The following is a 27,836-nucleotide window of genomic DNA, read 5'->3' on the forward strand; positions in this document are numbered from 1 at the left end:
GAAGCAGAGCATAGAATAGTGTTTACCAGAGGCAGGGGAGGGTAGGAGGAAGAGGATCATGCAGACAGATTGGCCATGGGTACAAAGTTACAGTTAAATAGGATGAATAAATTCTGGTGTTTTACGGCAGAATAGAGTTTGAGTCGAAAGTATAATACACATATGAGTTTTACCTCTACTTTGGGGAAAGGCTTTAAAGCCATATTGAATAGCAAAAGAGAAGGAAAACAAACATCCTCTACTGGCTTTTGAATAAGCTCTATGAGACCTGCAAGTTACTGGACACCAAAGGAAAAGTGATTTTAAAACGTATCACATTTTGAATGCCTTCCAAGAAGAACGGTCCAGTAGATGATGGATTTGTGGCTAAGATCAAGGGGATTAACAGCTTCTTGGGAAGTCTCCCAGGAGGAAGGCTGGCCCGAGGGGATCAGAACTGCTCCCAGTGGAAAGTAGATGCCACAGTGATGTAGCTCTGAAAGAGAGTGCACCAGGACAAGGAGAAGTTCCTCTTTTAAAAACTAGACATAACACATGCTGGTTGCATGAGGAAGTGGAAGGAAAATTTATTGCCTAACAAAATAGCCATTCTGCTAGGAAAACGTTTGTTAGGCCTATTTGTCATGAGAGGTAAAGTATCTAGTGTTGCCTGGAATGGGGAAATATTGGCAAAGAAAGCCACATTGTTTTACACAATAAAGTAAATGTGAGTCCTCCGTGTTCCAGTGTGAAATGTTTTTCACTCTTTGAGACAGAAATATTCCTCAATTCTAGTTTACACTTCTCAGTCTTCTGAGAAGTAGCTCCTAAACACAATTCTTTGGAGTAGGCCCTGAAGATAGATTTGAGGCAGGGCATGGGGCCCCAAGGAAGAATGGGCCCTGTGTGAGAGTGGGTGGCAGGGTGGGCTGGCACTGGAGGAGAGAGCAGCTTGGGGCTCCCACAATGGGCTGTGGCTGAGGGGCTGAGCCGGCATCATCAGGCATCTTCTGGCATCTGGTGTGAAGCTGCTTTCTGCTCTGCTCTGATCTGCCTTCGTCATGCTCTCTACAGCCCTCCTACTCCAATTCATCATGAGATTTTATATCCACTAACTTGGTAGGTAAGGTTCACCTGGTGTAAACTGTACCAGGTGGTATATTGGGAAAAGAAACAGAGGCGCTGCCACATTTGGGACAGAATGGAGCAGCCACAATAGAAATAAGACATTAGTGACGTTGAGCAAAGCAAGAAGACAGGCAAGGTGACCATTGGAAAGCCCAGGGCCTCCTTCTCCCACTTCTTAGAATCTTCGGAAATATTCGGGAGGGGGCCAGATAGTCCACGGAGATTATGTGTGTTGCAGGGGGTGGGCGGGGGCCAGTTATTTTGCCTGGATGCTGAAGGGCTGGAGGATTGCAAGAGAAGAATGCAGCTGAAGGTTAGTCATGGTCACGGCTGTGGTGTTTCCAGCAGTGAAACTGACAGCCATGGAGGAATATGGGAATCCACTTTCCTGGATGTATAACCTGGCTTTTCATCGTGACATTCAAAGTAATTCACAGCAGGAAACTTAACACGCACTGAGCTCTGTCTTCATCATATGAAGAGGACAGCAGTTTGCCCATTTTATAGGTGAGTATCTTGAGTCCTTAGGAGGATCAGGGTAATGTATTGAAAGTCATCTTAGGAGTCAGTGACGGAACAACAATGTGTGTGCTCTGACGATGCAGGTCTAACCCAGCAATCCTTGTTACCATTGCCCGAGTGTAATACAGGAGGTTGGAAGTGGCTTTATAAGAAAAAAAATTATGATAATAATAATGATGATGGTGACGGTTATGACGGTGGTGATGAAGATAATAGCAGCGAATATTTCAATACATTTTAACAGCTCCTTATTTGCCATACACTAAGCTAAATCATCTACTTGGATTATTTCTTCAAACTGTCAACAAACTAATTTCCATCTAGCCTGAAATTTTTCATGCTCAGTACCATTGACATTTGTGGCTGGATAATTCTTCATTGTGGGGGGCCATCATGTGCATTGTAAGATGTTCAGCAGCATCTCCGGCCTCTACCCACTGGACTCCAGCAGCAACCTCTCCTTTCCTAGTTTTGATAACCACAAGTGTCTCCAGACTTTGCCAAATATCCGCTGGGGGACAGAATCATCCCCTGTTGAGAATCTCTGCAGAATCCCGCATTCTTTTCCATCTACCTACAAGATCTCACCCACATGGGGATGCAGTCTCTCCCCCAGTGCTTCCAGTACTTGCCCCTGGGCAGCCAGGTCCACTGTGAGGCCACTCAATTCATTACATCACTCATGTTGACCATGAAGACCCTAAGTCATCAAGGAAGGTTCCACTGGGTGCAGCAAATGCCACTCAGGTAGTCAGGAAAAGTATGTGCTACAGTTAAGAAATATCTCTACCCTAGAAGGGCCCTCACTATTTTGTGTTTATTTTTATTTTAGATACAAGGTCTTGCTCTGTCATCCAGGCTGGAATGCAGTGGTGCAATTATAGCTCACTGTAGCCAGTTTTATTCTTAAAGACCTAAGACGCGGTGGCTCACGCCTGTAATCCCAGCACTTTGGGAGGCCGAGGCAGGTAGATCATCTGAGGTCAGGAGTTCGAGACCAGCCTGACCAGTACGGTGAAACCCCGTCTCTAGTAAAAATACAAAACTTAGCTGGCTATGGTGGTGAGTGCCTGTAGTCCCAGCTACTTGGGAGGCTGAGACAGGAGAATCGCCTGAACCAGGGAGGCAGAGGTTGCAGTGAGACGAGATCATGCCACTGCACTCCAGGCTGGGCGACACAGCGGGACTCCATCTAAAAAAACTACAACAATGACAACAACAACAACAAAAAGAAAACAAACAAAAAACCCAAAAAACCTAAGGCCTTAGCTATCTAGAAAGTTTGAGCCCCAAAGTAGATACATTTTTGGAGTGTTCCTCATAATCAAGATCTTCCTGCATTTGCCTCTTCAGAATATTTTACAAATGTTTGTTTTTGATTTTCCTGATTGCCTGTCTTTCCTTGAGGGCTGGGTTGTATCTTATTCATTTGTGTGTTCCTGATCCCTATTACAGCAGCTGGTATATGGTAGGGACTCCGAAAGTATTTTTACATGATGGGTGAGTAAGTGCGCCAATGATTGCTTAGTAACAAAGTAACAAAGGTCTTTGACGATTCCAGGAGCTGCACTGGAGCCAGGGCTGCTGCCTGACTGATCAGCCAAGGTAGGAGCTGAAGTTTCATGGGCCAGCAGCCCAGGTGGGCTCATGAACACATCAGTCCTGGGTAGTGTGGTGGAGGTGGGGCTGCATGAATCCATCCCCAACTGTCATATCCCAGTGTCTGATATGTCTGCACAGCTGGAGGCGGCTAAGTTTGACATTGCTTCAATTTTCTCACTAGTAAAATGGGGATACAAATGCGTATCTGGCAGGGTTATGATGAGGATTAAATTGGAAAAAAACAACTATTTCAATTGTGCTTGACAGAGAGCAGGTGTCCAGGAAATTTCATTTTCCTTCTCTTCCCTTTCTGCCTTTTCTATCTGCCTAACACCCCTCATGCTGGGAACTTCTCTTCTGTCCATGTTGCTATTGAGACTGTTAATCACATGTTCCAAACTGACCAATCAGAATACTCCTTTGTTCCTGGTTTCAGTGATTGGTCCAGCAGTGGGCACATGACCTGGGAAAGCCAATGAGAGTCTTTCGGGGAGGGGGACTCGATATAAATGCAGGGTTTTCTCTGGTCTGTAAGGTGGTGAAAATCCGAAGTTGAGCGCAGGCGGCCGGTTTGCTCACATCAGGCCTGCTAACTGGGGCTAATGATAATAATGATGACAGCTTGGATTGACAGCACACCTGCCATGTTCCTGTTGCCTTACAACCACTATCTCCAGCCTCCCTACCGTCTAGCATGTGCCTTGCTCCATACCTGCCTTCCTGAGGTGCAGAGGACAGCAGCGTGGAGAGATGGAGGGACAATGGGTGCCGATACTATTGTTTCGACACCTGCATCCGGTTTTGCCTGAAGTCTTTTCATTTGCTGGATATCTTAGTTCCATGAGTCAATATTCTTCTACTTCTTTTTAATCCAGTTTATTTTAGGTTGTTGTGACTTCCCATCAAGAGGTCCTGACTAATATATGATTCATCTCTTTTCCTTCTTTCTTGTTTTTCTTCCTTCCTTTCTCTGCCCTCCCACTCCCTTCCTTCACCCTCTTGCTCCTCTCTCCCCTAGGGTCCTTGTCTCTCCTAGTTCCTAGCCTGGATCCCAATTTTGTCCTTGTCTTTCTGTCCATTCATCATATCCGTGGAGTCCTCAGATAATTGTCATACTGACTCCTAGACATTTACAGATTATAATGCAGATCTTTCAAGGCTCATAGGCACACAGCTCTATTAGGAGAAAGATGCGGTGATGTTGACATTTTGGATGAGGGGGTCAAATATTGTTCAGCTCCAGTCAGAGCCACACTTCATATTGCAGGCTTCTGCCTGGTTCATTTTCATTTTTATGCAAGCAAACCATCACAAGAGCCCGCCTGTGTTTACCCCCTGCCCAGGTGTATTATGAACATTGTCTCTAGTTCCTACCTGTGGCTCACATAGCTAAGGACAGCAGGGCTTACCTGGCTGGGGCTGAGCGTCTCAGGTGAAAAGTGCCACCTGGAGGTGGGGTTGAGAATGAACTCCGCCTGATGGCCATGTCTGGGTCTGGCACCCCAGGAGTCCACTAAGCAGTCATAGGCAAAGGATGCCATTTGTCTCTTGGGTTCACTAGTGCAGTGGGTGACTTCTGCCAGCAGGGAGTTGGTGGATATTGCAGGGTTGGACTGTGTTTTTCAGAGGAGCGGCGATGAATTAGCCCATTTATTTTCCCATGGTCTGAAACCCAAGGAACATCTGTCTGAGCCACAAGCGGCACGTTTTGTGGCTGGTGGGAGGACCCATGTTGCAGGGTTTGATTATGCCCATCAGCCGGGGTTGCTTGGAAGCGTCAGGGAGAGCTGGTGATTAATCACCAGGCACAGTGGCATGGATCCCCTGTGTAATTATCCCTATTGCCCTCAGAGCCGATTATGCTTCCAAAGGGTAGCGGCTTTCGGAAGGAGGTGAGTGCAGGCTGGCCCCTTTGCTCACACCAGTCCTGCTAACTGGGGCTAATGATGATAATGATGACAGCTTGGATTGACAGCACACCTGCCATGTTCCTGTTGCGTTACATCCACTATCTCCAGCCTCCCTACCGTCTAGCATGTGCCACCTTCAAGGTCTTGGCCGTGTTCTTCTAACGCTGATACTGTTATTTACTTCAGTTTTTTCTTTAAATCAACTCAATTTTTTATTTAAATGTATTTTTAAAGTGGGGTACAAAAAATTAGAAAGAATGAATAAGACCTACTATTTGATAGCACAACAGGGTGACTATAGTTAATAATAACTTAATTGTACATTTAAAAATAACTAATCAAGTATAATTGGATTGTTTGCAACACAAAGGATAAATGCTTAGGGGATGAATATCCCCATTCTCCATGATGTAATTACTATGCATTGCACACCTGGATCAAAACATTTCATGAACCCTATAAATATATATACCTACTATGTACCCCCAAAAATTAAAAATTAAATAAATTAAAAAATAAAAAAGTAAGATTTCCAACTCTCTTCCAAGTAGAAAACTAGTAAGGCTTTCTAAGAATGGAAAGAAACCATACAAAATATGACATAAAACATACAACTAAATGCTGGTTGGTAGTATTGCCTGTGAGGACCCAGCTGAGCCCTGCACCCTCTTTATTATGATGGGGTCTTTAATAGAGGTGAGTGCTGACCTGAGACTTTTTATGTAACCAGAGAAATAGAAGGGCAGTTAGAAAAAATAAAGCACTTCTCATCATGTCTCTACTGGTATACCTCAAAAAATCACCAAGGTCTGTGTCTCAGGCATCAGGGGTGTTCATGTATTTGACTTCCCATACTTCTCACTCCTCAAGTTGGGCTCTGTTACGTCCATTTCAGAGTTGAAGAAACAGAGCCAAAAAGAGGTTGCAGAGAGAGGATGTTCAAGAAGGGGGATTCCAGCCCAGGCTCTGGAGATAGACCATCATTGTTCTGTACTAGATGCCATGTGCCAAGTTCTGAGCTTGGCACTTCACCTTCATTACCTTGTTCTATCCACATTCCTGCCCTGTGGAACTGTTATGGTTTTCATTTTATGGGGGACACAGAGGCTCAGTGGGGTGCAGAGATGGTCCCAAGCTCTCCTGGCAGTAAAACAAAAGCAGAGTTCTTGACCAGGGCACGGGGTGCTGCAGAGGACACACATTCCCACTCTCAGATGCTGCTTGTTCTCTCCACAACCAGCTGTGGGGCAGCTGCTTTGCCAGGGGCCCTGAGTGTCGGCAACAGCCAGAATAACAGGGAAGCAGAGAGGGAGTTTGCTGGAAGGGCTTGGGGGAATGCACAAATGTAGGGCAGAAGCTGGAGAAATGGACCTAGAAAGAACCAGAGCCTAGGCACTCTGGTGTCCGGGAGGCCTCAGGGCTGTGGCCAGAAGACATAGGCACCTTTTCTACTCTTTTGGGGGTCTTCTCCTCAAAGGTGGGGACCTTGAGCAAGAGGGTCCAGTGGATCTGCTCAGGTTACGTGCCTCCCCTCTGGGCAGGGTGAGATCCTTGTTTGGAGAGTCCCACCCAGCAGGATTCACACAATAGGAAGTTGGGGCGGGGGGATCAGGGTGCTATCATAAAGGGTAAGAAGGCTAAGACTAACCTCCGAACATGCAGAAGTTACCCACTATATGCCAGTTGGCCCTGTGCCAGGGGGCCTTCTATCATACTATCCTGTAGAGGTAACAAGAAGTCCCAGCCTCAAAAAGGGGCTGGCAGGCTGGGTCCTAGTTCTTCTTTGCCATGGCTCCAGCATGGACTTATACCCTGGATTGGTTGTCTCATTTCAAAGCAGGGAAAGATCTCTGAGAGCTTTGCCCAGCTCCCTGGATGCTCTGCTCCAGGTGATCTTGGCACCCTCTTCTGGGTCTGGCACCCACACACTGGCACACCTTCCATGACCCTGAGGCTCATGCAGCCTCCAGACTCACCTACCAGTTCTCTTCCTGGGATTCTCAGCTTTCTAGCATACCCTCTTCCAGAGGTGGGAGACCTCCAGTTAAAAACAAAATTGTACACAACCGCAGCCTCATTTCCATTGTTTAAGAAATTAATTATCTTGGTGTATCTTTTCCAATAACAGCTTTCATTAAATTAAACCCAAGGCATTTATATTCCCTGGGAATAACAGGCTGCTTATATATGGCGGGAATGTGCTGGAATTTCTTTAGAAATCAGCACATTGGCTATTGAGGACTAGCTGGTGATCACAGGTATAGGTTTTGAAGTTAGATTGTCAGGATTAAAATCCAGGCTCTGCCATTGCTGGCTGTGTGGTCTTGAGCAAGTTACATTACCTCTCTGTGTCTCGGCTTGCCCATCTGTGCAATTTGGACAGTAAGAGTTCCTATCTCCCAGGCTTGTGGTAAGGATTAAACACGTTCATGTAATGATCAACAAGGTTAACTATGAACATGCTCACAAAGACACACATGGGCTCTTCTGGCGCAATAGGGACGTGGCCTGGAAGCTCACTGCCACGTGGCATTTGGGACCACAAGGGATCAGACCTCATCGTCTGTGCACAGATAGACAAGATCATAAAGAGGAAAAATTAGCATCGGGAAACTGGTTATTTATTTAAGATTGAAAGCGGGAGAAATCTGCCCTGGACATCTTCCCCTCTCCTCTGTTTGTTTTGTCTGCCAAACAGAGGCAGTACCCCCTCTCCACTCTATTTATTAATTGAGTAAACTCCGTGATCCTAAATGCAAACAAACATGGGGCCAGCACAAACAAGCACGTGCTTCCTGTACGCGCCACTTCTGAGTAGCAGCCCGAGCAACAGGTGGACTGGCTGGGAGACAGAAACGGCTGCAGAAGGCGCCTCCAGGATTTGGCGTGAGAGCCCTGCAAGGTCAGCCCATGTGCTCCTTCTTTGTTAGATTGTTTGTTCATTCATTTGTTTATTCATTCCTTTATTCAAGTGTTTAGTGAGAACTTCCATGTGGAAGACAAAGACCTAGCTCACAAGGGGTGCATGGTCTAGGGAGCTAGGTGTGGACAAAGAGCCACGTAGGATGTCAGTGCTGAGATGTGGCAGCCACGGGGAGCTATGGAAGGGGGCAGAAAGAAGACCCCAGAGCTCAGGGAAGGCCTGCAGGGCAAGTAGGGAGTTGTCAGCCCAGCAAAGAGCCAAGAGTGTGAGGAGAAGGTCTGCCAGCGCCTGAAGGGGAGAAGCCATGGTTCACCAGCTTCAAGAGTTGATACAGTTGAAAGCATCATCTCTCCATGGCCAACATCCTGGGCTGTGGCTTTAATTTGGGCATAGTGTGTGCCTGCAAAACCTCGGCTGTATTCAACCTAGTCTGCCATTGATGGAGTGAGAACTGCCCCCAAATTATTTACATTCAAATTTGGAAGCAACTGAAACCCAACAGTAGGAGATTCATTACAGTAATTCCATGGAAATGGAATAATACGCTGTCGTTAAAAGTGTTCAAATCTTTTATGGTTATGATAAATCTAATAATAAAATCGAGACAATATTAGAATATATATTTTAACATTTTCCTAGTTTTGTGAAAAAAGCCCCAAATATCTGTATGAGCCTAGATAAATGACAAGAAAGGAAAACAGTAAGATTTTTATAATGGTTATTGCTCAATGGTTGGATTTTTAAAAATACTCTTCTATAATTTCTAAATTTTATGCCCTGAGGATGTATTACCTCCATAGTCAGAAAAATTATGAAAGGTATTTAAAACCCAAACTGGCTTTGGGCATGCAGAATGCTTGGTTATTTCTGAAGTATAAAAATAACTCCCCCTCTGTCCCATCAGCACGCGTGTTGCAGGGAGTCTGACGTTGCTCGCTAAGTCTCTTTGGTCGTTTCATACTAATGCCCTTTGCTCCCCTGATTATCTCTCTGAGGTTGGGGCCGGGGGATGGGGGTGTGCTAGGCCTCCTGGATGTCTGTCTGCTGCCAAAACATCCTCTCCTGTCTCTGTCTCATTGGTGCATTTTGATGAACCTGTATTGCCTGGTCACTGCGCGCTAACCACCAAATTATGAAACATTTGTGCTGCAAGGGAGCTGAGAGATCCTTAAACTCAATGAACCATTAGGCATAAGACACACACACACACATACACACGTGAATACACACAAACACACAAACAGCTTGGCTGCTCTGGGTGAAGCATGTGTGTGTTTGGGGGAAATTTCCTTCCCCACCCGTGGTCGTCCATTTGCCCATGAGCAGCTTCCGAGGCAGGTCCGTGGACCCCAACGCTGTGTAACACCGTGTGAAAAACACAAAGGCTTGCAGCCCTCTCACTGCAGACGTGGGAACACGACTCTGTTTAAAACCCTTCAAAGCCCGCCTTCTTGCCGTGTGATGCTGCCTGGGCCAGCAGGGCAGGTCACCACGCTGTCTCTTCAAAGCAGCTCGCTCATGCCCACAGCGCTGGGCACAAGGGCAGCCACGAGCTGTTTGATTTCTGCGTCCCCAGCAGATGGCTTGGTGCACAGGGGCAGGGCTCGTCTGTCCCTCTCACTGCTGCGTCCCAGGCTATGTCTCCACCATGTAACTTCAGACAAGTTCCTCAGCGTCTCTGTGTCCTGGTTCCCTCATTTGTAACATCAGGATATTGATAAGGATCATAGTAATAGGGATGTCCTTATGGGGCCTCATGAAAATGAAGAGTTCTCTGTGATGTGCCTGGAACCACAGAGGGCAGCAAGTGGGAGCCACAGAAAGTCATCTCTTTATCATAGTTGTCATTGGTAACTATGACGGTTATCAAGGGCAGGGGTCTCCCACCTTCTGCATCCAGGCCTTGTCATTCCTTATAAAATTTTCTCCTTTCAAGGACTTTCAATGCCCTGAAAACGGAATGCTCCTCCCTGCTCCCCATCAGCTGCTGCAGAGCCCTGAACCCCTTGAACTTGCCTTGCTTAGTTCTTTCAGGGGCTGCCTTGGATGCCACCTCACTTCCCTCTTCTTGGCTCTGTGGCTGTCAGAGGGGCTGGGCACTGGGTTACTTCATCAGTTCCTGGGTGTTGATCGGCAGGAAACAGTGGTTTCCTGTTCATATCCTGCCTGAGCCTGGGCCGGGTGGAGGTGTCCTGCATGGAGTCTTGTGAAATCGCGTGGACTGCAACACCCAGCAGCGCGGTGAGTCCACCCTGAAATCCACAGTGACCCACGCGGCATGTGCTGGGAATTGAACGCTTGGGGAAAGAGCTGGGCTCCAGCGGATCAGCCCCGACCAAGTCGTTCCCACAGCTCAGGACCGGACGCTACAAGCCCACTTTGTAGCAGTTTGGCGGACGGCAAACTTTTGCAACACAGTGCAAAAACCATTTAACACCTTTAAGGGAATTGGAAATGGGTTTTTCATGTGTGGTGGTGCTGAAAATTGAGAATAATGACAGAATTATTAAAAACAGCCTTCTCGGCCTTAGACTCTTAATTGCCTCTGGTCTGTAAAACTGACAAATAAGCACTGTAGAAGCCACAGATGAAATATGTCGTCTTGGGAGCCCTGGAGAATTGTCTCTGAATTCTTTTGTTTATGGATTGTAGAAACTGCTTTGGGGGTAGTTGGATGTAGAAGCAGAAGGACAGAGTGGGGAGCTGGGAGCAGGAGGCCTGGGTTTGTCTCCTGAGTCTGTTTCCACTGGGGCCTGAGGCTCCCGTGTGAGGGAACATGAATGGGCCAGGCACATGGGCCCTGTGGGGTGACAGAGCTGTGGGCTCCATGGTGGCTCTGTGGGCAGCTAGCTTGGGGATGGCTGAGATAAAGACAAGTAGTTTTCCTTCCTGCAGGACTTCTCAGAGCCTTTAGTGTGGTTATAATGATAGAAAACAGTATTAAGTCCATACCCTGAACCAGAAACAATGCTAAAAGCTTTGCACTTGGCCTTTTTTTTTCTTTTTCTTTTATCAACATGTGTGAGGACGGAAGCTTAGGCTTACAGATATGGACTCATTGAGAGTGAGTGGACGTGTCTGATCTTTAACCCAGTTCTGTCTGACCAAAAAGCCTGTGCTCTAACCACTGTGCACCCCTGCCTGTCTGTCCTGTTGAGAGAACTGTAGGGAAAGCCTTGAGATTATGTATCCAGTGCTCCCCTCCTCCTGATTGGAAGATGGCAGCTCAGAAGGTTAGGGTGCCTTCTCCTGTCCTCCGAGTGGTTAGATGCACGTGTCCTCTTCTGTCCTCTGCTCTTCCCACATCCCTCTCTCTCTGGTGCTCTGGTGGAGCCCCTGGGATCAGGGGTCACAGGAGCACCTGGGCCATTTGCATGGTTGTTGGTAAAGGGTGTTCCCCCACCCCCCATTAAGGTGCCTGCCATCAAAGTGCCTTATTGCTTGAGTTCCAATCTCGGCTTCACAACTCTGTAGCTGTGTGACTTTGCACAATGTACTGAGCCTCTCTGTGCCTGAACATCCTTGTTTGTAGATAGTAAAGATAATTGTCCCTTACTCCTAGGTTTCACATTGAGTGTTTAGCAAGTTAACGTTTGTAACGTGTGAAGTCATAAGATGCAGGACTGGATGACTGCCCTACCCACAAGAGGCCTAGGATCTTCCCAAGTTGCACTACTTATGGGACAGGTCTGCCAAGCAGCCCTTGTGAAGATAAAGGTGGTGATGAGTTCCTCCCACAAAACAAGAGCCTCAGAGAGACTGGAAAATAACCCCCGGTGCCTTTTATCAACTGGCCAGCAGATGGCAGAAGCAAGCCAGGAACAGAGCTTGTGTGCGGCGGCTGTGGCAGCTACCTTTGAAAATCCCGTGGTGTTTGGTGGTCGTATTAAGAGATCTCTGGTGTAGGAGCATCCTTCATTCTAAGCAGGATTCTGAACAAACTCAGAACTGGCTTTGTGGCTGGTACCGAGGACCCAGGGGTCACGGCTGCTCCCAGTGGGTGCTGATGCCCATTTGTTTGTGCAAGTTGGTCCCCTGTAGGGAGGACAGATGGTCTGTCTCGGACTTTCTGGCCTGTGCACCAAGGCCCAGGGATGGAAGTGGGGCAGCATGTCCCCATCATTAAATAGGGCGTTCTTGATAATAATCCCATAAGGCCTAATGTGATGGGTGTGGTCAATCATTCATTCATTCTGTGAGGATTCAGTGAGCAGCTACTCCATGCCTCTAGGCTCTGAGGACGCAGCATGAGAAACACACGGAAGGCCCACGATGACCAGGGAGCTCGCCTTCCAGGGAGAGAGGAGAAAAATAAATGGTAGGGAGTTAAACACGACAAAGTAGAAAAGGGCCAGCTGCAAGAATGAAATTAAATAGGAGGCTGGTGGCAGGGGGGCAGGGAAGCCTGAAGCACCTGACTGCCCAGAACAAGCCGCACCTGTGAGGAGCTGGGAAGGGCACTCCAGGCAGAGGGAGCACCAGAGCAAACCCTGGGAGGGGGATGAGCCTCTTGTTGAAGAACTAGAAGGAGGCCAATGTGGCTGAGCAGAACACATGAGGCGGAAGGAGGAAGTGAGGGGCCCTGGGCCTGGCCACCAACCGGCAGATCAGGGGTGAGGACTCCACTTGGGAGAGTGTGAATGGCCCAGTGTGAATGACAAAGCAGTTTCATGCAGCTCAGCCTGTCTGGCTAAGTGCGCAGCCCTGAGGATTGGGCTCTGAGCGTTGCAGCCCTTCTGAGTCTGTGGGCCCCTCTCCCAGGAGGATCAGGTTGCCCAGGGCAGCTGGAAATGTCCTTAAGTGACTCCTTGCTGCTGCTGCCGCTGCGTCTTGCTGACATCATTTCCCCGCAACAAGCGCTGGTCTCCTGGGGCGGCTGCCCCCTCTCATCTGCACATCTAGCTCCCCTGCCAGGCCTGTGCTGTTTTCCGGGGCCTCACAGAGAAGCTCAGGCAGGTGGAGCCTCAGCAACAGGCGCCATCCTCCCCTTCAGCCTGTCGCGGCTCCTCCCTGGGGCATGCTTGAAAGCCCAGACATGTTCTTCACATCTGAGAAAGCAGTTAAACTGAAATTCCTGGCAGACTCAGGTTCAAATCCTTATTAGGCTGTTAAGTGAGAGGGGATTTCATTTCCTTGCAGCCGCCCTGGGTCCTGCCACTGAGCAGCTGTTGGTAGGCTCTGCTGTGAGGTCTCCTCTTCCGGCTTTCCCACTTCCCAAGGTAACCTGGTGTGGGGAGGAAGCCGGGGGCCTCTGGTGAATGGGAACCTGTGCAAAGAAGGAGCCGAGGGCAGGGAGAGGTGGGATAAGACCCAGCGTGGGGGCCTGAAAGTGAGGCCAGCAGAGAGTCATTGAGAGGCCCTCGGAGAATACGTTCTGGGGACGCAGTCAGGGAACACCTGTTTCCTGCTGTGTGACTCTCACAACCCAGCTGTGGACACACACGTATGTACATATATGCACACACAGGAACACATATGCACACACAGGAACACATGCACACATGGACACACATATACACACGATGAATACACATACAGACACACATTCATATATACACACATACCTATGTATACACATGTACACACATACACTCACATGCACATGCACATATAGACCTACAGATACATAAATGTACATCCTTATAGATGCGTACATATACAGTACACATGCATGTACTCACAAATACTTATGCCCACATCTACATATATGTATAATACATATATACACATATAGATATATACATATATACTCACATGTCTATGTATAAACACACACCTATATGCACATGCCTATACATATATGCACATACATGCCCACATACACCTATGTAAACATATACACACATCTATATTTAAATATGCTCATGCATGCATATATACACACATATATACACATTTATGCATGTGCATTCATGTACATATACACACATGCACTGACATCGACACATGCATGACACAATGATATAGATATACACACATATATACATGCATGAACACATCTATATGCATACATACACATATGTGGATATAGAAAAATAGCAGATATACACATACATGCACATATCTGTATGCACACATATATACATACAGATAAACACATGTACATTCATCTAGATTTCCACATTTACAAGTGCATATTGGTACACATATGCATACATATGTGTATGTATGAATCTTTTCTCCCTCTATATCACACACATACCTTTTGCTGAGGGCTTAGTATTTACTAGGTGCCAGACTCTGCTCTCTTAATATAAGGTCGCCCCAAAACAGACCCTGAGCTGAGGATTCGGGTGCAAGCGGCTAACATGGACGGTGATCCAGCAGCACCGTGAGGAAGTGGGGCTGAAACCTGGAAGGGAGCAAGGCCGGGGATTAGGGTGACCACAGACAAGGCCATCACTGAGGACCTTGGGGTTCAATTTCTCCAGTGGGGGTGTCTAAGCCACTATGTTGCGTCACGTGTCAGAATTGCCCTCTGGAGGACTGGAAAACTGGGTGTTGACTGCCACTTCCTGCTCCTGGCCATGAACTCCTGGTGCTTCTAGTTTGCCCAGCATAGGCCATGTGCTCCTGGGGCCAGCGAGGGTCCACAGGCAGAGGCTGGGGACCTGTGCTGCAGGTGATCGCAGGTGGGCCCTGGGCCACCACACGCTCCACACAGGTGCTGCCTCATGGGTCTTTCACAACAACCCCCGTTTGACAAGGAAGAATCTGGGGCTTGGGGAGGTCTATAGATTTGAGGGGTGTTATGGGCGAGGCTCATAGCAGAACCAGGTCAAGAATCAAGGTTGTGTGATTCTAGCAGGTAAGTCCTGACAATGACTGGCAAGTGTGAGCCATGCAGGGGCAGGACAGGCCTCATGAGTGGTGACAGGAGGTGGTTCAGGGTTGTTTTGCACAGCCAGGCATTCTTTGAAGGGCAGCTGCAGTGAAGGGCCTGGCTGCACAGCCAGCCTGCCTGGGTCCAGATCCCAGACTCACCATGTCCTGAGGGAGCTTGGGGGAACTGCCTGTTCCCTCTGGGCTTAGTTTCTCTTCAACACTAAGAAGACTCAGTTGAGTCATGTTCATGATGGAGTGCTTGCAACACCACCAGAGAGGAAGGGATTGTGAATGAGGCCGTCCTGGGGAAGCGCAGGTGTGTTGGGGTGGGCGGGTAACCAGGTATTGCGACAGGGGCACAAGGTGGCACTCAGCCTCCTTGTGTTTGTAGCAGACTTTTGAACACTAGACTTTCTGGTGGCACCTGTAGCACCCTTAAAAAGTGAATGCTGCTGCCCAAATTAAATCTGAGCAGACTGAACTGAACGTCCCAGCATAACCTCAACGTCTCTGGGGCCCCATCTGCCCTGCTCTTAGCATCCCACTAAGAGAAGCAGCAGACACTCAAAGCAATTGGAAAAATGACCTGAGTTCATCCAAACCCTTTAAGGAGAAACCTCTCTATGACTTTCCCTACGATTCTTTCACCCCGTATTTCTCCCCTCCCATGGTCTCACTCCAGAGCTTTTCCAGAGCCCTTTTCTTTCCCAGAGGCTCCTTGGAGCCAGCCCTCACGGCTCTGGCCTTGTTTTCTGCTCCACGTTTTAGCATGAGGCAGGCATGCTATACGGCAAACATGACATTTTCTTTAGTGGGTAGGGGAAGAGGAGGGCTGAACCTCTAGCGCCCGAATGCATTTGTCCCTGTCACACACAGTCATTGTCCAATTACCTTTTGGGAGGGAAAACCCAGTACTGATCACTCCGCCTACTCCAGTTTTTCCTGATCTGAATGATCTGCCTTAACAATGTGTTAACATTTTACCCAAGTTCACTCAGAATAAGAAAGTGCGTAGAGGTGCCCACTAGAGGGTGGGCGCACAGCAGTGGGCATCTCGGCTCTCTGCCCGTGGGGATCCTGCCAGGTTGTTCAGAGCAGCTCCTCAGTGTCACTCTCCTCCCCACCCTCCCTTTCCTTGGGGTCTAGCCGTTTCTAGCTCCAGTGTTGCCCCTCCCAAGCTGGATGTAACCTAGCTTCTGTCTTTTACCTGTTACCTCATTTGTGCAGTTAACATTTTATGCACGTCCCTTACAGTGTAGAAGGAAAACATAATTCTAATCTGACTCCATTCAGTGATGTTAAATACTGCATGTGAACATCCCCATCCAGAAGTTCATCCAATGTAGACTCATCAAAAAGCAGGAGTCCTAAATGTTTGCATTGTGCAAGCATCCTTAGCACATTGCTATATAGGTGTTTAAGAGTGTCTTAAGAGATATTTGGAAAATTGGTTGGGGATTGTTTTTGTTGGCCTGGGAATGTATTATTATTTTTTCCCAGTTCACATAAAGGGGTGAAGCCCTGATGTCTGGAAATTTGCTCTCCAAAGTGTTTCCAGGAATTGACAATATTTGGATAATGAGGGGTGTCTGTACTTTCCTTGACCTAAACTGCTGGTAGAGGGGGATATTTTTGTATGATTGGGCAAGGTCAAACACAGAATCAAATCAGGAAGAACAGGGTCTGACATGATGAATCCCTGCCTCGCCTTGCCATTGACAAGAGACAGAATAAATGCCCCCAAAGAACCCTGCACCATGAACGCTTGATGGCAATCCTGTCTCAGGGCTTTGCTGCTCGCTGTCAGGCAGCAGGTACACTACCCAGGGCCGTGGGGAAGGCGTCTTGCAGCCACACTGCAGCAGGAGGCTGGTCATATCTACGGGCTCCACCAAGCCAGGATGCAGAGCTCGGCCCGTCTCATGGCACAGGCTCGGGCTGCTCGGAGCTTATAATGAATTAGAGCCACAGCTGATTATTTTCAAGGCTGGCGCTCACGCTGGGTGCCTGAGAAGACGATGAATCTGCAGTGCCGAAGTGCTGCCTGGCCTCTCAGGAACCAGCTGCAGCTGGGATTCTCTGCAGCCTTCCCCGCAGCAAGCTGGGGTAGCCATGAGCCCTGCCTGTCCAACGTGGGGTCAGGCGGGCATGCCTGCTGTGTCTGGCAGCCTTGACACCCCCAGATTCTGCTGGAAGATGCTCGTGGCCTGAAAGCTCATTTTGTAGTCGCTCTACCCTGGGATGCAGCTTCTGCACTGGCAGGATTAACGCAAACAGAATCTGCTTGGCTCATTCCTCGCCGGGCCTCAACAGGCCTGCAACGCCACTGTCTGCCAGGGAGAGCCACTCGGTGATACTGTTAATTAAAACCATGACTCTGGGGGCAAGAAAAAATTTTAAAACGCTGAAGTCATCTTCCCTAATAGAAATCTTATTTTGAAGGTGCTCACGGAGGTCAGGCTGACCAGAAAAACCCACAAGCCATAAATAAGCTCAAATAGTTTTATTTAATTTACTTAACTCGGTGCCTGGAGTCCTCATGGGGAGAGGTGCCTGGCATCAACACAGGGTGGGGGTGGCCACCCTCATCTCTAGCCCCTGGGTCCCAGAGCTGAGAGGAGGGAGAGAACTGAACTTTCTTGGAAGAATGTGGAACTGCTGAGTAGATGCTTTGGAATTTGCTGACCCAGGCATCTGGGAGTACAGCCTGACCGGCCATCTCTGCGCCAAGCTATCTATAGTCCAATGGCTATTTTCAATTGGAAATTCATTTTAAAGTGGTGGCAGTGACGGGGGAGTGGCTGTATCTGTAATCCATTATTTCACACAGAGAATTCCCTTCTTTCATTTTTTTCTGGCCAAAGTTGCTGCTTTGAACGTGGGTGGGTCTTGGAGCCCAAGACTGAGCTGGCTGCTTGGAGAAAAATTGGAGGGATTTGAAAAGGCCCGAGGGAGGGTGTCCTCTGAGTTGGGGGTGGCAGAAAACATCTTAAATGTGCAGGCCCAAGCCTTCTGCAGTGAAGGGAATAGGACTCTGGCTTCGGCAGACCTAACTCAGTCTCTGGGTTCTTGGGCTAATTTGTGAAATTACCTCTCCCCTCAGGACTGGGAGAGAACGGCCTTAAATAAGTGCAATTTAATTCCCTTGATTGTGGTCCTCTTTAATGAAAAACCAAAATTTATTCTCTCTCCTGCTAGTTTCCCATTGAAAGTCACAAGAAATGAGGCTGGGGTGGAGGGCCTGGAGTTGCTATGGAAGCATGATGCCTAGAACCCACTATGGGATGGATGGTCATTGGTGTCACGGACTGTGGTGTAGACATTGTCTCCTGTGCCAGGATGTGGCCTGGTCCTGCACCCCTTTGCCTTTGAAGCTGTGCCTGCCTGTGATCTGGGAGTGGCACGAACCCACAGAACCCAGCCCACCCTGCAGGAAGTGGGAGAGCTCCCCGGGTACTCTGGTGCTGAGGAAGCACAGCTTAAAGAGGAAATTTCCTTGAAATCCACACAGACCTCCTTCCAGAATGTTCTGGAAGGAAGCACAACTTCAAGAGGAAATTTCCCTGAAATGCACACAGACCTCCTTCCAGAATATTCTGGAAGGAAGCACAACTTAAAGAGGAAATTTCCCTGAAATGCACACAGACCTCTTTCCAGAATGTTCTGGAAGGAAGCACAAGTTAAAGAGGAAATTTCCCTGAAATGCACACAGATCTTCTTCCAGAATGTTCTCTAAATCCTCCTCCAATTCAACTGTCATCACCACAGAACCCACACCCTATGATAAATGGCCAGAGCCCTTACTGTCTTTGTTTTACTCCAGGCGTCTCAGGCCACTAACAAGGAGGTGGAGGTCTCAAGGCTATTGTCAACTGATTCTGCTGGAGGCCAGACCAAAATGGCTTTCTTCCGTGACAGCGTCAGTCCAGTTACAAATCTCCCGGTTCCATGATAAAGGATTTGGCTGGGCTATGGCCCTGGTTTCTTGGAGGAAACCTCTAAATCCTTGAAACTTCCCGAGTGATAGGAGAATCTATGTTATTCATGGTGGGCCTTTCCAACCATACCTGAGTTTATGCTTATGAAATTACCAGGATGGAAGCTGACCACACCAGAAAGGTCAGCCAGGTAATTGGAGGCTTGGGGCTTTGACCAACATGACGTCAGTCCTTCAGTGAGTGGAGGAGGGCTGGAGATTGAGTTTAATTGCATGGCCAGTGAGTTAATCAATCATGCCTATGTAACGAAACTCCAATAAAAATTCTGGACATGGGCTCAGGTGAGCTCCCAATTAGTGAACACATCAAGGTGCCTACAGGTGATATGTCCTGATCCACAGGGTGATGCCATGGAACCTTCCAGGCCTGGCCCTATGCATCTCTTCACTGGGCTGGGCTGTATTTCCACCATTTGATAATAACACTGTAATCTTATCACTGCAGCAGTTTCCTGAGTTCTGCCAGTCGTTCTGGCAAATTATGAAACCTGAGGGGGTTGTGGGAAATGCCAAATTTTTGGCCAGTTGGTCAGAAGTGCCAGTTCTGGGGAGCCTGGAGCTCCTAGCTGGAAATTCTTGTGGACAGTGTACCTGGCCTCTGATGTCTGAGCCAGTTCTGGGTGTTGTGTGTTGGGATGGCACTGCAGTCCCTAAAGCAAGTTCTGGGGAATGGTAGGAAAGCATCCCTGCATCTATATTTCCATTTGGTCCCGGTCTAAAGCAGCTGGTCCTCAGAATTGTCTAGGGGGCTTTTAGAAAGAAGAGCCTTCTGGAACCCTTCCTGAACGATTCTGATCCCATAGTCCCGCAATGGGCCCTGGAGTCTGTATTTTTGAAAAGCTTTCCTAAGTAGTACTGAGGCAGAATCATATTTGAGACTAACTTTCCAGTGCAGCCAGGCATACCTCCCAAAAAGAGAAAATCTGTTTGAAAGAAGGGAAAATGCAGAAAACTGGGGAGGCCATTCCCCAGTGTTCTAACAAGTCAGGGAACAAAGGGACGGCAGATAGAAAGTTCCATGCCGGGAGGTCAGTGCTGCAGCCTGCGTCCTTACGCTGAGGTCAGTCTACGAAAAGGCATATTTGGTGACCCTGCATCCCTTTCTGGGTGTTAAGCTCTGGAGACACTTGCGAGGCCTTCTTCCTTCTCCATATGTCCCCCCTTGGACCTTTCAGATGTCCTTATGGTCCTGACATCAGTATCCTATGATGGGATGCACATGCTCGACCTCGGGGACCAGCTGGAAGCCCTAGCTGCTGCTGGCAGGGGCCAGGACCCTCAGCACTGAGGGTCTGGGTAGATGGAACTGCACACCTTGCATCTGGGGCGAGGAAGCATGTCCTAAGAACTGAGTGGCGCACGAGGAATTCACGTGACAGTTTCTCAAGCTGGTGGCCTTCTCCCTGTCTCCTAAAACTGCCCTGAGCTGCCTCTGTCTCCCACCGGGGTGACAGCCACATCTCCTCTCTGATCTCCCTGCTTCTCATCTTGCCCCTATGCAGCCTGTTCTCCACACAGGGCGATCCTTTAACAAGTCAACCATCCATGTCTTTCCCTTGCTTAAAATCCTCCGAGGCTCCTTTGCACTGTGAAAATTAGAGCAAGAGCCCTGGGGATCTGTCCTTGCCTGTTTCCTCCCCCTCACTTGGTCCTGTCATGCATCAAATCATAGCCACATGGTTTTTGCTTTCTGTTTTTCAAAGAATTTCAAATTCTCTTCTCCCACAGGGCCTTTGCACAAGCTTTTCCCACAGCCTGCAACACCTGCCCTTCTTCCCCACACTTGGCTTGTTCCCAGAAATTCATCATCCTGTCTTAAATGTCACACTCTTCAGAGAGGCCTTCTTTAGCCCAGATACATAGGTAGGTTGACCCTATTGTTGTCTGTGACATTATCTTCTTGATGTCTTTGGACTTAATCACACTTTTAAATATATATTTGTTTTTCCTGTCTCTTCCACGAGGCTGTTGAATGCTGCATGGACCTGTGCCCGGCACAGAGAATGTGCTGGTTTCAGTAGAGTAATTAATACAAGCAGCAGCAGTGAATAACCCAGACAACGTCAGTGGCTTATCTTGGAAAGGTTTTTTTTTTTTGAGACAGAGTCTCGCTCTTGTCGCCCAGTCTGGAGTGCAATGGTGCAATCCCGGGGCTCACTACAACCTCCGCCTTCTGGGTTCCAGTGATTCTTCTGCCTCAGCTTCCTGAGTAGCTGGGACTACAGATGTGTGCCACCAGGACCTGCTAATTTTTGTATTTTTGGTAGAGACGGCGTTTCACCATGTTGGCCAGGCTGGTCTCAAACTCCTAACCTCAGGTGATCCCCCCACCTCGGTCTCCCAAAGTGCTGGGATTACAGGTGTGAGCCACTGCGCCCAGCCAAAAAGGTTTATTTCTTGATCACATGACTCAGCCAGAGCAGGTGGGCATGGACCTCTGCTCTCCCCACTCCACCTAAAGAACCTTCTCCACCTCCTGGTCTCCTTACCTGGAATATGTGGCCTATGAGGTTTGCCAAAGAGGAGAAAATGGAGACACACTAGCTGTTATCAGCCTGGCAGCCACAGGCTCACTTCTGTTCTTGGCCCATTTGCCTGACCAGTCCTGTGGCTCCCACCACCTGCAGGAGAGTGGGGAACAGAGGAGGCAGGAAAGACACTAGGAAGAGTGGGGAGGGAGGAGAACTGCACAGCTGGAGAGGGTAGGAGGGATGCTGAGTGGGTGCTGCTGGGAGGAGGGTATGTACTACTGGGAGGAGGGACGCTGGGTGGGCACTGCCAGGAGGAGGGATGCTGGGTGGGCATTTCTGGGAGGAGGGGGGGAGGGGGAAGAGCCACACAGCCCGAGGTCCGTGGCAGGAGGAGATGACAAGCAGGGAGAACACCAACGGAATAAACTCTGCAGTTTCCTTCAGATCATCCCTGCATAGGTGTTTCTCGAAACTCATGTTCAGTGAGAACAGCAGGCATAGACTCAGGACAAACCCTCCATCTCCTTTCAGGTTAGGTTGGCCCATGGGCTGGAGCGTCTGCGTCTTGGTCGGCCCGGCAGTGTACATGTCAAGCAGCGCGCAAAGACTCCACAGCCATTCGTAGGCACTGCTGGCCTCATGCTCCAGACAGCCCTGGGACAATGGGCCACCAAGGGAAATCAATGATTGCGTGGGCGCAGGTGACCTCCAGCCTGCTTCAGGGCCACCCTTGTTCCCCATGCCAACTCCCTCCTTCCTATGGGCTCCCAAGAAATGGGTGGCAGAGACCAGCCTGGTGATTTACCTCCTGCCTTTCCGTGACTTCCTCCCAGTCCTGTGCATCTCATGTTTAATTATGAGGCTGTGGAAGGTGGTGATATTAATTATAGGGCTGAGGTTGTGTTACTTGGAGAAAGTCAGTGCACATGTCATTTGATTTTCCTCAAGAAGGAAAACTGTATTTTTTCCGATCTCAAAAATAATTCCAGGGAAATAAATGTGTACAATCACACTTTGGGGTTTAAAACTAACGAGTTTCAGTTTTAAAACATGTTAAAAACCTTTCTATTTGGAGAAAGCTGGAAGAATCCACTTTGGGGATCTGGCGGTTCTCAGGAGCTGTATTACCTCGGGATGGTCTCACTGGTTGGTAGCAGCTTTTGTATGAGGAGGGGCATGGGGTCCCGACTTAGGCAGAGAAGGCTTTGCTGAAGAGGTGCAAAGCCCAGCTTAGGGCTGGGTTTTCTACAGACCAGGAACAAAAGCATTGCTTGGCAAGATTTCTTCTCTGCTCAGAGAAAACACGCAGATTCCAAAGAGTGAGATGGAGAGAATTTGACATGTCTTGGTTTGAAAATAAGTCAAAAGAAGTCTAATATTAACAATAGCAATAATAATAACAACCATTAATTGTGCCTGCGTTAGGTACCAGGCCCTATTCTAAGTGTTGTGAGTGCCCTCTGTCATTTAATCTCCACGGAGTCCTGAAGGTGCTTCCCAGGTTTGTCCCCATCACACAGATGAGGCAATCGTTCTGTTAAGACTGTCCTTGGGTCATTATGTCAGCAATGAAATCGGTGCTGCCATTACTAAACCCTTACTGTGTGCTGGCATTTGTGTATGCATGCATGTGTGTGTGTGCACACGTGTGTGTTTGCGTGTACATGTGCATGTGTGTGTTGTGTGCCTGTGTGTGCACATGTAGAAAGAAAGTGATGTGTGGGAATGGAGAATTCCAACCCAGGAGGAGACTGTGCCTGGGGCTGCCATGAGAAGTGGTGACACTTCGAGAAACGGGTTCCAAATGCACGTTGCCTTCCAGTTCTCTGTGTGACCTTGGGCAAGTCACTTCAGCTCCCTGAGCTTTGTTTTTAAAAATATTTTTTAAATGTATAAAACCATGGACCATTACATATGAAGAGAAATGTGTGTGCAAACATTCAGTTAATAATCACAAGGTGGAGGAGTGCCTGCTCAGACCCAGAGCTGACACAGGGAACTCTCCCAGAAGGCTGCAGGGCTTCCCTCCCAACCCTCCAACGGCCCAGTTGCTGAGCCCGTGCTTATCTGTTCAGTGGAAATGCCATGTGCCACGTTCCTCAGAAGTAAAGCCACTAGGTAAGTGTGACACTCTGTGCCCAGCTTGGTGCAAAGCCTCTTGTGTGTGCTATCTTATTGACCTCCCAAATAGCATGGTAAGGTCAGTACTGTCACTTCCCCCACTTTGAAGATGAGGAGAGCACAAATTCTAGATGGAAATGGAGGTCACGCAGTGGAAATAGGATCCAGACAGATTAATCCAATCTCAAGCCTGAATTCTTCCATTCCACGCTACGCTTGAAGCTCAATCTCTCTTCCTGGTTGATTCTCCCCACTTCCCCACCCCCAGATATATCCCATCGCTGCTTGGTGGACAGTAGCCATGACTGGGTTTTGGTAAAGGTTGCTGAATAATCAGGCTGCTGGTTAGTTTTTACATTTCACCTTTCCCAGTGAAATGGGGCCCCATGAAAAAGGCAGCTCAAGTTGTAAATTACTCAAAGGAAGGACAGAAAGGTCTTCTGTTTGCACCTACCCTAAGGATTTGGGGTAGACACTGGGAATTTACTAATTATGAATTCCAGTGCTTTCCTTGCTGAAAGAGAGGCGTGGAATCAACGCTGAGTGAAGGCATCAAGTTTAAGCTGCTAATTACTTCCTGATCATGCAGAATAAAAGCTACGTCCCTTGAAATACACCAGGCAGCTAAACATAATCTTTGCGTTTCCGTAGTGTTGGTTAAGGAATCCAGATGTTACTGCAATAACCACTCCATAAACAAAAGGAACACCCAGCTGTGAGAACTGGCTTCTCAGCATTCGTCCCAGCAGAGGCTCTTCTGGGGCCAGCCCTGGAAGAACCCATCAGGGTTCTGATGGTTGCCCTGTTTCAGCACAGCCCTTATTGGCAGGCAGACGGCTACGGGCACAGCCACAGGCTGAAGGTGAGTCCAGCACACAACTTTCTGACAGTGAACAGGAGTAAACATGGGACCCACCCGAAACCTTTGTCTGTTGACTTCTTAGCAAATGGAGGCAGCTCTAGGCTCTGGAGAGTTCGGGTATAGGAGACCATGACTTGAGCAGACTGATATAAGTGGAATGCAAACATATTTAGATGGCACAACTTAATTTAGATTTATCAGTGCTAATATAGAAAAAGCTAGTATTTATTGGGGCTTATTAGATTTTTAGTCTGAATCCTCACAACTTACGAGGGGGTTCGTTTTACAGACTATGATCTTGCATGATTTCCCCAAAGATGCTCATTAAGTATATGGTGAAAGTAGAATTTGAATACAGAAGACCTGGTTCTGCTACTTTCTGTGTTTCTATTTGGTTCAAACCAGCCTTTCTTCTTTCAAAACAACTTCAGTGCAATTCATGGTTTTGGAAAATAAACTTGATTTTGAGATTCAGACAATAAGTGCATTTTTAATGTTTATTCTTTTATCTTGAAAAACTGATATATTTATGAAATGATATGTGCTCACTCAGTGTCAACACTTCAAACAACACAGACAGTACAATGACAAATTGGAGATCAGCTCTAATCTCGGCCCCCAATTTAATGCATTGCTGAATATTCTTCTGAACATAGTCCATCCCACACTGTCCCATGACACAAGACGCTCCAAGGGGCTGAAGATAGAGGGACTTCTGCAGTCAAGAGAGCTGGGAAACTCTTGGACAGTCACAATGTGCATTTGGGTATTAAAGGCTCTGCAAAGTTCTGCACCAAATAAACCCTTGGATTGGCTTGATCCAATGCCATGTTTCCAAAACCTACTTGCCCGTGGGACACCTTAGTCCATAACACAGGTTGGCATTTCTTCTAGAGAGTGTGCTGTGAAAAACACTGGTCTCACAGCACCGTGCATTCATCCAGCAGGTATTTACCAAGCAGGGACTTTGGGCCAGGTCCGTGCTAGGCTCTGCAGGTGGACCAGCCAGCCCTGACCTCCATGGTGTCTCTTCTCATGGGAGAGGCTGCACAGCAGTCATTGAGAAAACGAAGAAACACACAGGTACTTTCAGATGCTGATAATGACTACCATGTGCTAAAAGAGCTCCAGGTGTTGTCTGTTTTGAGACAATCTTCTCGACAATGAGATAGAATGAACCATGCAAACTTTGGGGGCTACGATGGTTTTAGGAAAGAGCTAGAGTGAAAAATCCTTTGACATATATACATACAAATAAAGATACATGTGTATAATTTTATGTAATTGACATCACATTATATGCTGGCACCTGCCTTTTTTGCTTAATGAAAATGTCAAAGGTAATATTACCAATCAATCAATATATTTCACCATCGTGTTTAATTTCTGCAGAGCACTTATTCAAGCACATACTGCATTTTTCTTAGTCACTCACTGGTGGGAATAGAAAGTTTTCTCAGGCATGCATTTTTCCCACTTCTGAAATGATCTCCTTAGAATAAATTCCCCAAATTGTATTGCTGGGTTCAAAGGCATGAACATTTTACATTTTTATACAATAATGTCAAACTACCTTCCGGAAATGATGCTCACTTTACTTTCCCTCCAAGACTGTGTGAAAATGCCCATTTTCCTAAATGCTTACTATGACTGGTTTCCAACTACATTTTAATTCTTGTTCAATCTGATAGGCAAAAAATGATATTTAATTTTTATTTGATTGATAATGACCTTGAACGTGCCCATTAGCCTTTTGCATGTATTCTTTTATGAAACATCTGTTCCTATCCTTCGTCAATGTTCCTCTTCATATGTTAACTTTTCTTATTGATTTGTTAGAGCACTTTGTATATTGTGAATATTAGCTTTTGTGATCAGAATTATGGAATTGTTGTTGTCTTTAGTTTTGCTTATCAAGTTTAAAGCCATTCAGAGATGTTGTAAATGTGTATGTTGTTAAATTTATGTCTTATTTTGTGTTTTCTGATGCTCATATGTTTAGAATGGTCAAGCAATCCCAACTTATGATTACTTAAATATTCTCCCATATTTGCTCTTAGCATTTTTTTTCTTTTCATGTAACCCTTTGTTCTTTCAGGAATTTACTTTGCGGTAAGAAATGGGCTGGCTTCCAGTTTTATGTTTCCCAAATGGTGATTCAGCTGTTCCATTTCCATATTCTCCCTTATTAGAAATGACCACTATATTATGTTCTAAAATATCTGCGTACTTGTGTCCCTTCCTATAATCTCAGTTCATCTCTTTGAGCTATCTTTTGATTCCTTTTTCAAACCACACTGCTTTACTGAACTGTCATCATCTTATACATTTTTAATACTCAGCAAGACAAGTTTCTCAATGCCACTCTTTTTCAGAGTTTTTCTGGTGGTTGTAAGATGTTTATTCTTCTGGATAAACTTTAGAATCACTCTTTTTGTCCAAGGTAAAATATATCCCACATTGAGATCATACTGAATATACAGACTAATTCAGGAAAAAATGTATGTCTTTATTGCATTGAGTCTTCTTATCCAATAAAAAAGATATGAATTTCCATGTATTGAAATCTTCACTGAGACTTATTTTTGGCTTTTCACATGTCCTGCAAATGTATTGTTAAATTTATTTTTAGGTATTTTAGGGGAAATGATTTTCTAAAGTTTGTATTTTCTAGCTTGTTATAATTTACATATGAGATAGTCATTGTTGTATATTATTTATAACTGATCATATTACTGTATTTGTATTGTTTTAATAGTTTTTCTATTATTTTGGGTTTTCCTGGAATACAACCTTATTATCTACAAATTATGATTGTTTTGCCTTTTCCAATGTTCATAACTGTTTTTATATTCTTGTCTGATTGCTTTGTTCAGCACTTCTAGAATAAAGTCATGCAATACTAATGATAAAGGGTACTCTGAACTTGTGACTCTCATAGGATGCGGACAGTATTTTTACAAGAAAATTTGATGATAATTTTTGGATTGGAATGTGCAGTAAAAAAATTCTACGGTGCTCACACCTGCAATCCCAGCACCTTGGGAAGACAAGGTGGGTGGATCGCTTGAGCCCAGGAGTTTGAGACCAGCCTGGGTAACATACCAAAATCCTGTCTCTACAAAAAACAAACAAACAAAACCCAAACGACAACAAAAAAACCCAACAATTAGCCAGGCATGGTGGCACACACCTGTAGTCGCAGCTACTCAGGAGGCTGAGGTGGGAAGATCACTTGAGCCCTGGAGGTGGAGGTTGCAGTGAGCTGAGATGGCATGGCGCCACAGCACTTTAGTCTGAGCGACTGAGTGAGAGCCTGTCTCTAAAAAAAAAAAAAAAAATCAAAAACCAACCAAACGAACAAAATCTTATAAGAAGGAGTTATTGATAATTTCAAGTATCAGAAATGGATGTTAAATCTTATCAAATGTCTTTATGACTTATAAGAAATGATCATATACTTCTTTATCCTTTGTCCTATTAACACGTTGAGAGT

At 46.9% G+C, this 27,836-nt stretch overlaps 1 long non-coding RNA gene across 4 annotated transcripts, besides 4 other annotated features; it reads left to right on the forward strand.

Annotated features, from left to right (window-relative positions):
• The first annotated feature begins 10,221 nt into the window (after positions 1 to 10,221).
• On the forward strand, positions 10,222 to 27,250 carry LINC02910 (long intergenic non-protein coding RNA 2910). Of its 4 annotated transcripts, none has more exons than NR_161291.1 (4): positions 10,222 to 10,305; positions 13,204 to 13,283; positions 24,130 to 24,340; positions 24,894 to 27,250. It is a non-coding gene; the product is annotated as a long intergenic non-protein coding RNA 2910 (long non-coding RNA). The 4 variants fall into 4 exon arrangements; NR_161293.1 differs by having other exon boundaries at positions 25,285 to 27,250; NR_161292.1 differs by lacking the exon at positions 13,204 to 13,283.
• Positions 11,910 to 11,959: an enhancer, noted in NCBI's record as "active region_18192". NCBI's record gives its function as "activates an Ori minimal core promoter by ATAC-STARR-seq in GM12878 lymphoblastoid cells {active_cell/tissue: GM12878}" and the evidence as "EXISTENCE:reporter gene assay evidence [ECO:0000049][PMID:35858748]".
• Positions 11,970 to 12,149: an enhancer, noted in NCBI's record as "active region_18193". NCBI's record gives its function as "activates an Ori minimal core promoter by ATAC-STARR-seq in GM12878 lymphoblastoid cells {active_cell/tissue: GM12878}" and the evidence as "EXISTENCE:reporter gene assay evidence [ECO:0000049][PMID:35858748]".
• Positions 12,245 to 13,046: an enhancer, noted in NCBI's record as "NANOG-H3K27ac-H3K4me1 hESC enhancer chr20:58633003-58633804 (GRCh37/hg19 assembly coordinates)". NCBI's record gives its function as "activates a minimal SCP1, AML or CMV promoter by ChIP-STARR-seq in naive H9 embryonic stem cells {active_cell/tissue: H9 hESC(naive)}" and the evidence as "EXISTENCE:reporter gene assay evidence [ECO:0000049][PMID:30033119]".
• Positions 12,753 to 13,002: an enhancer, noted in NCBI's record as "active region_18194". NCBI's record gives its function as "activates an Ori minimal core promoter by ATAC-STARR-seq in GM12878 lymphoblastoid cells {active_cell/tissue: GM12878}" and the evidence as "EXISTENCE:reporter gene assay evidence [ECO:0000049][PMID:35858748]".
• Positions 27,251 to 27,836: the final 586 nt, after the last annotated feature.

Source organism: Homo sapiens, chromosome 20, assembly GCF_000001405.40.
Source record: "Homo sapiens chromosome 20, GRCh38.p14 Primary Assembly".
Lineage (NCBI taxonomy): Eukaryota > Metazoa > Chordata > Mammalia > Primates > Hominidae > Homo > Homo sapiens.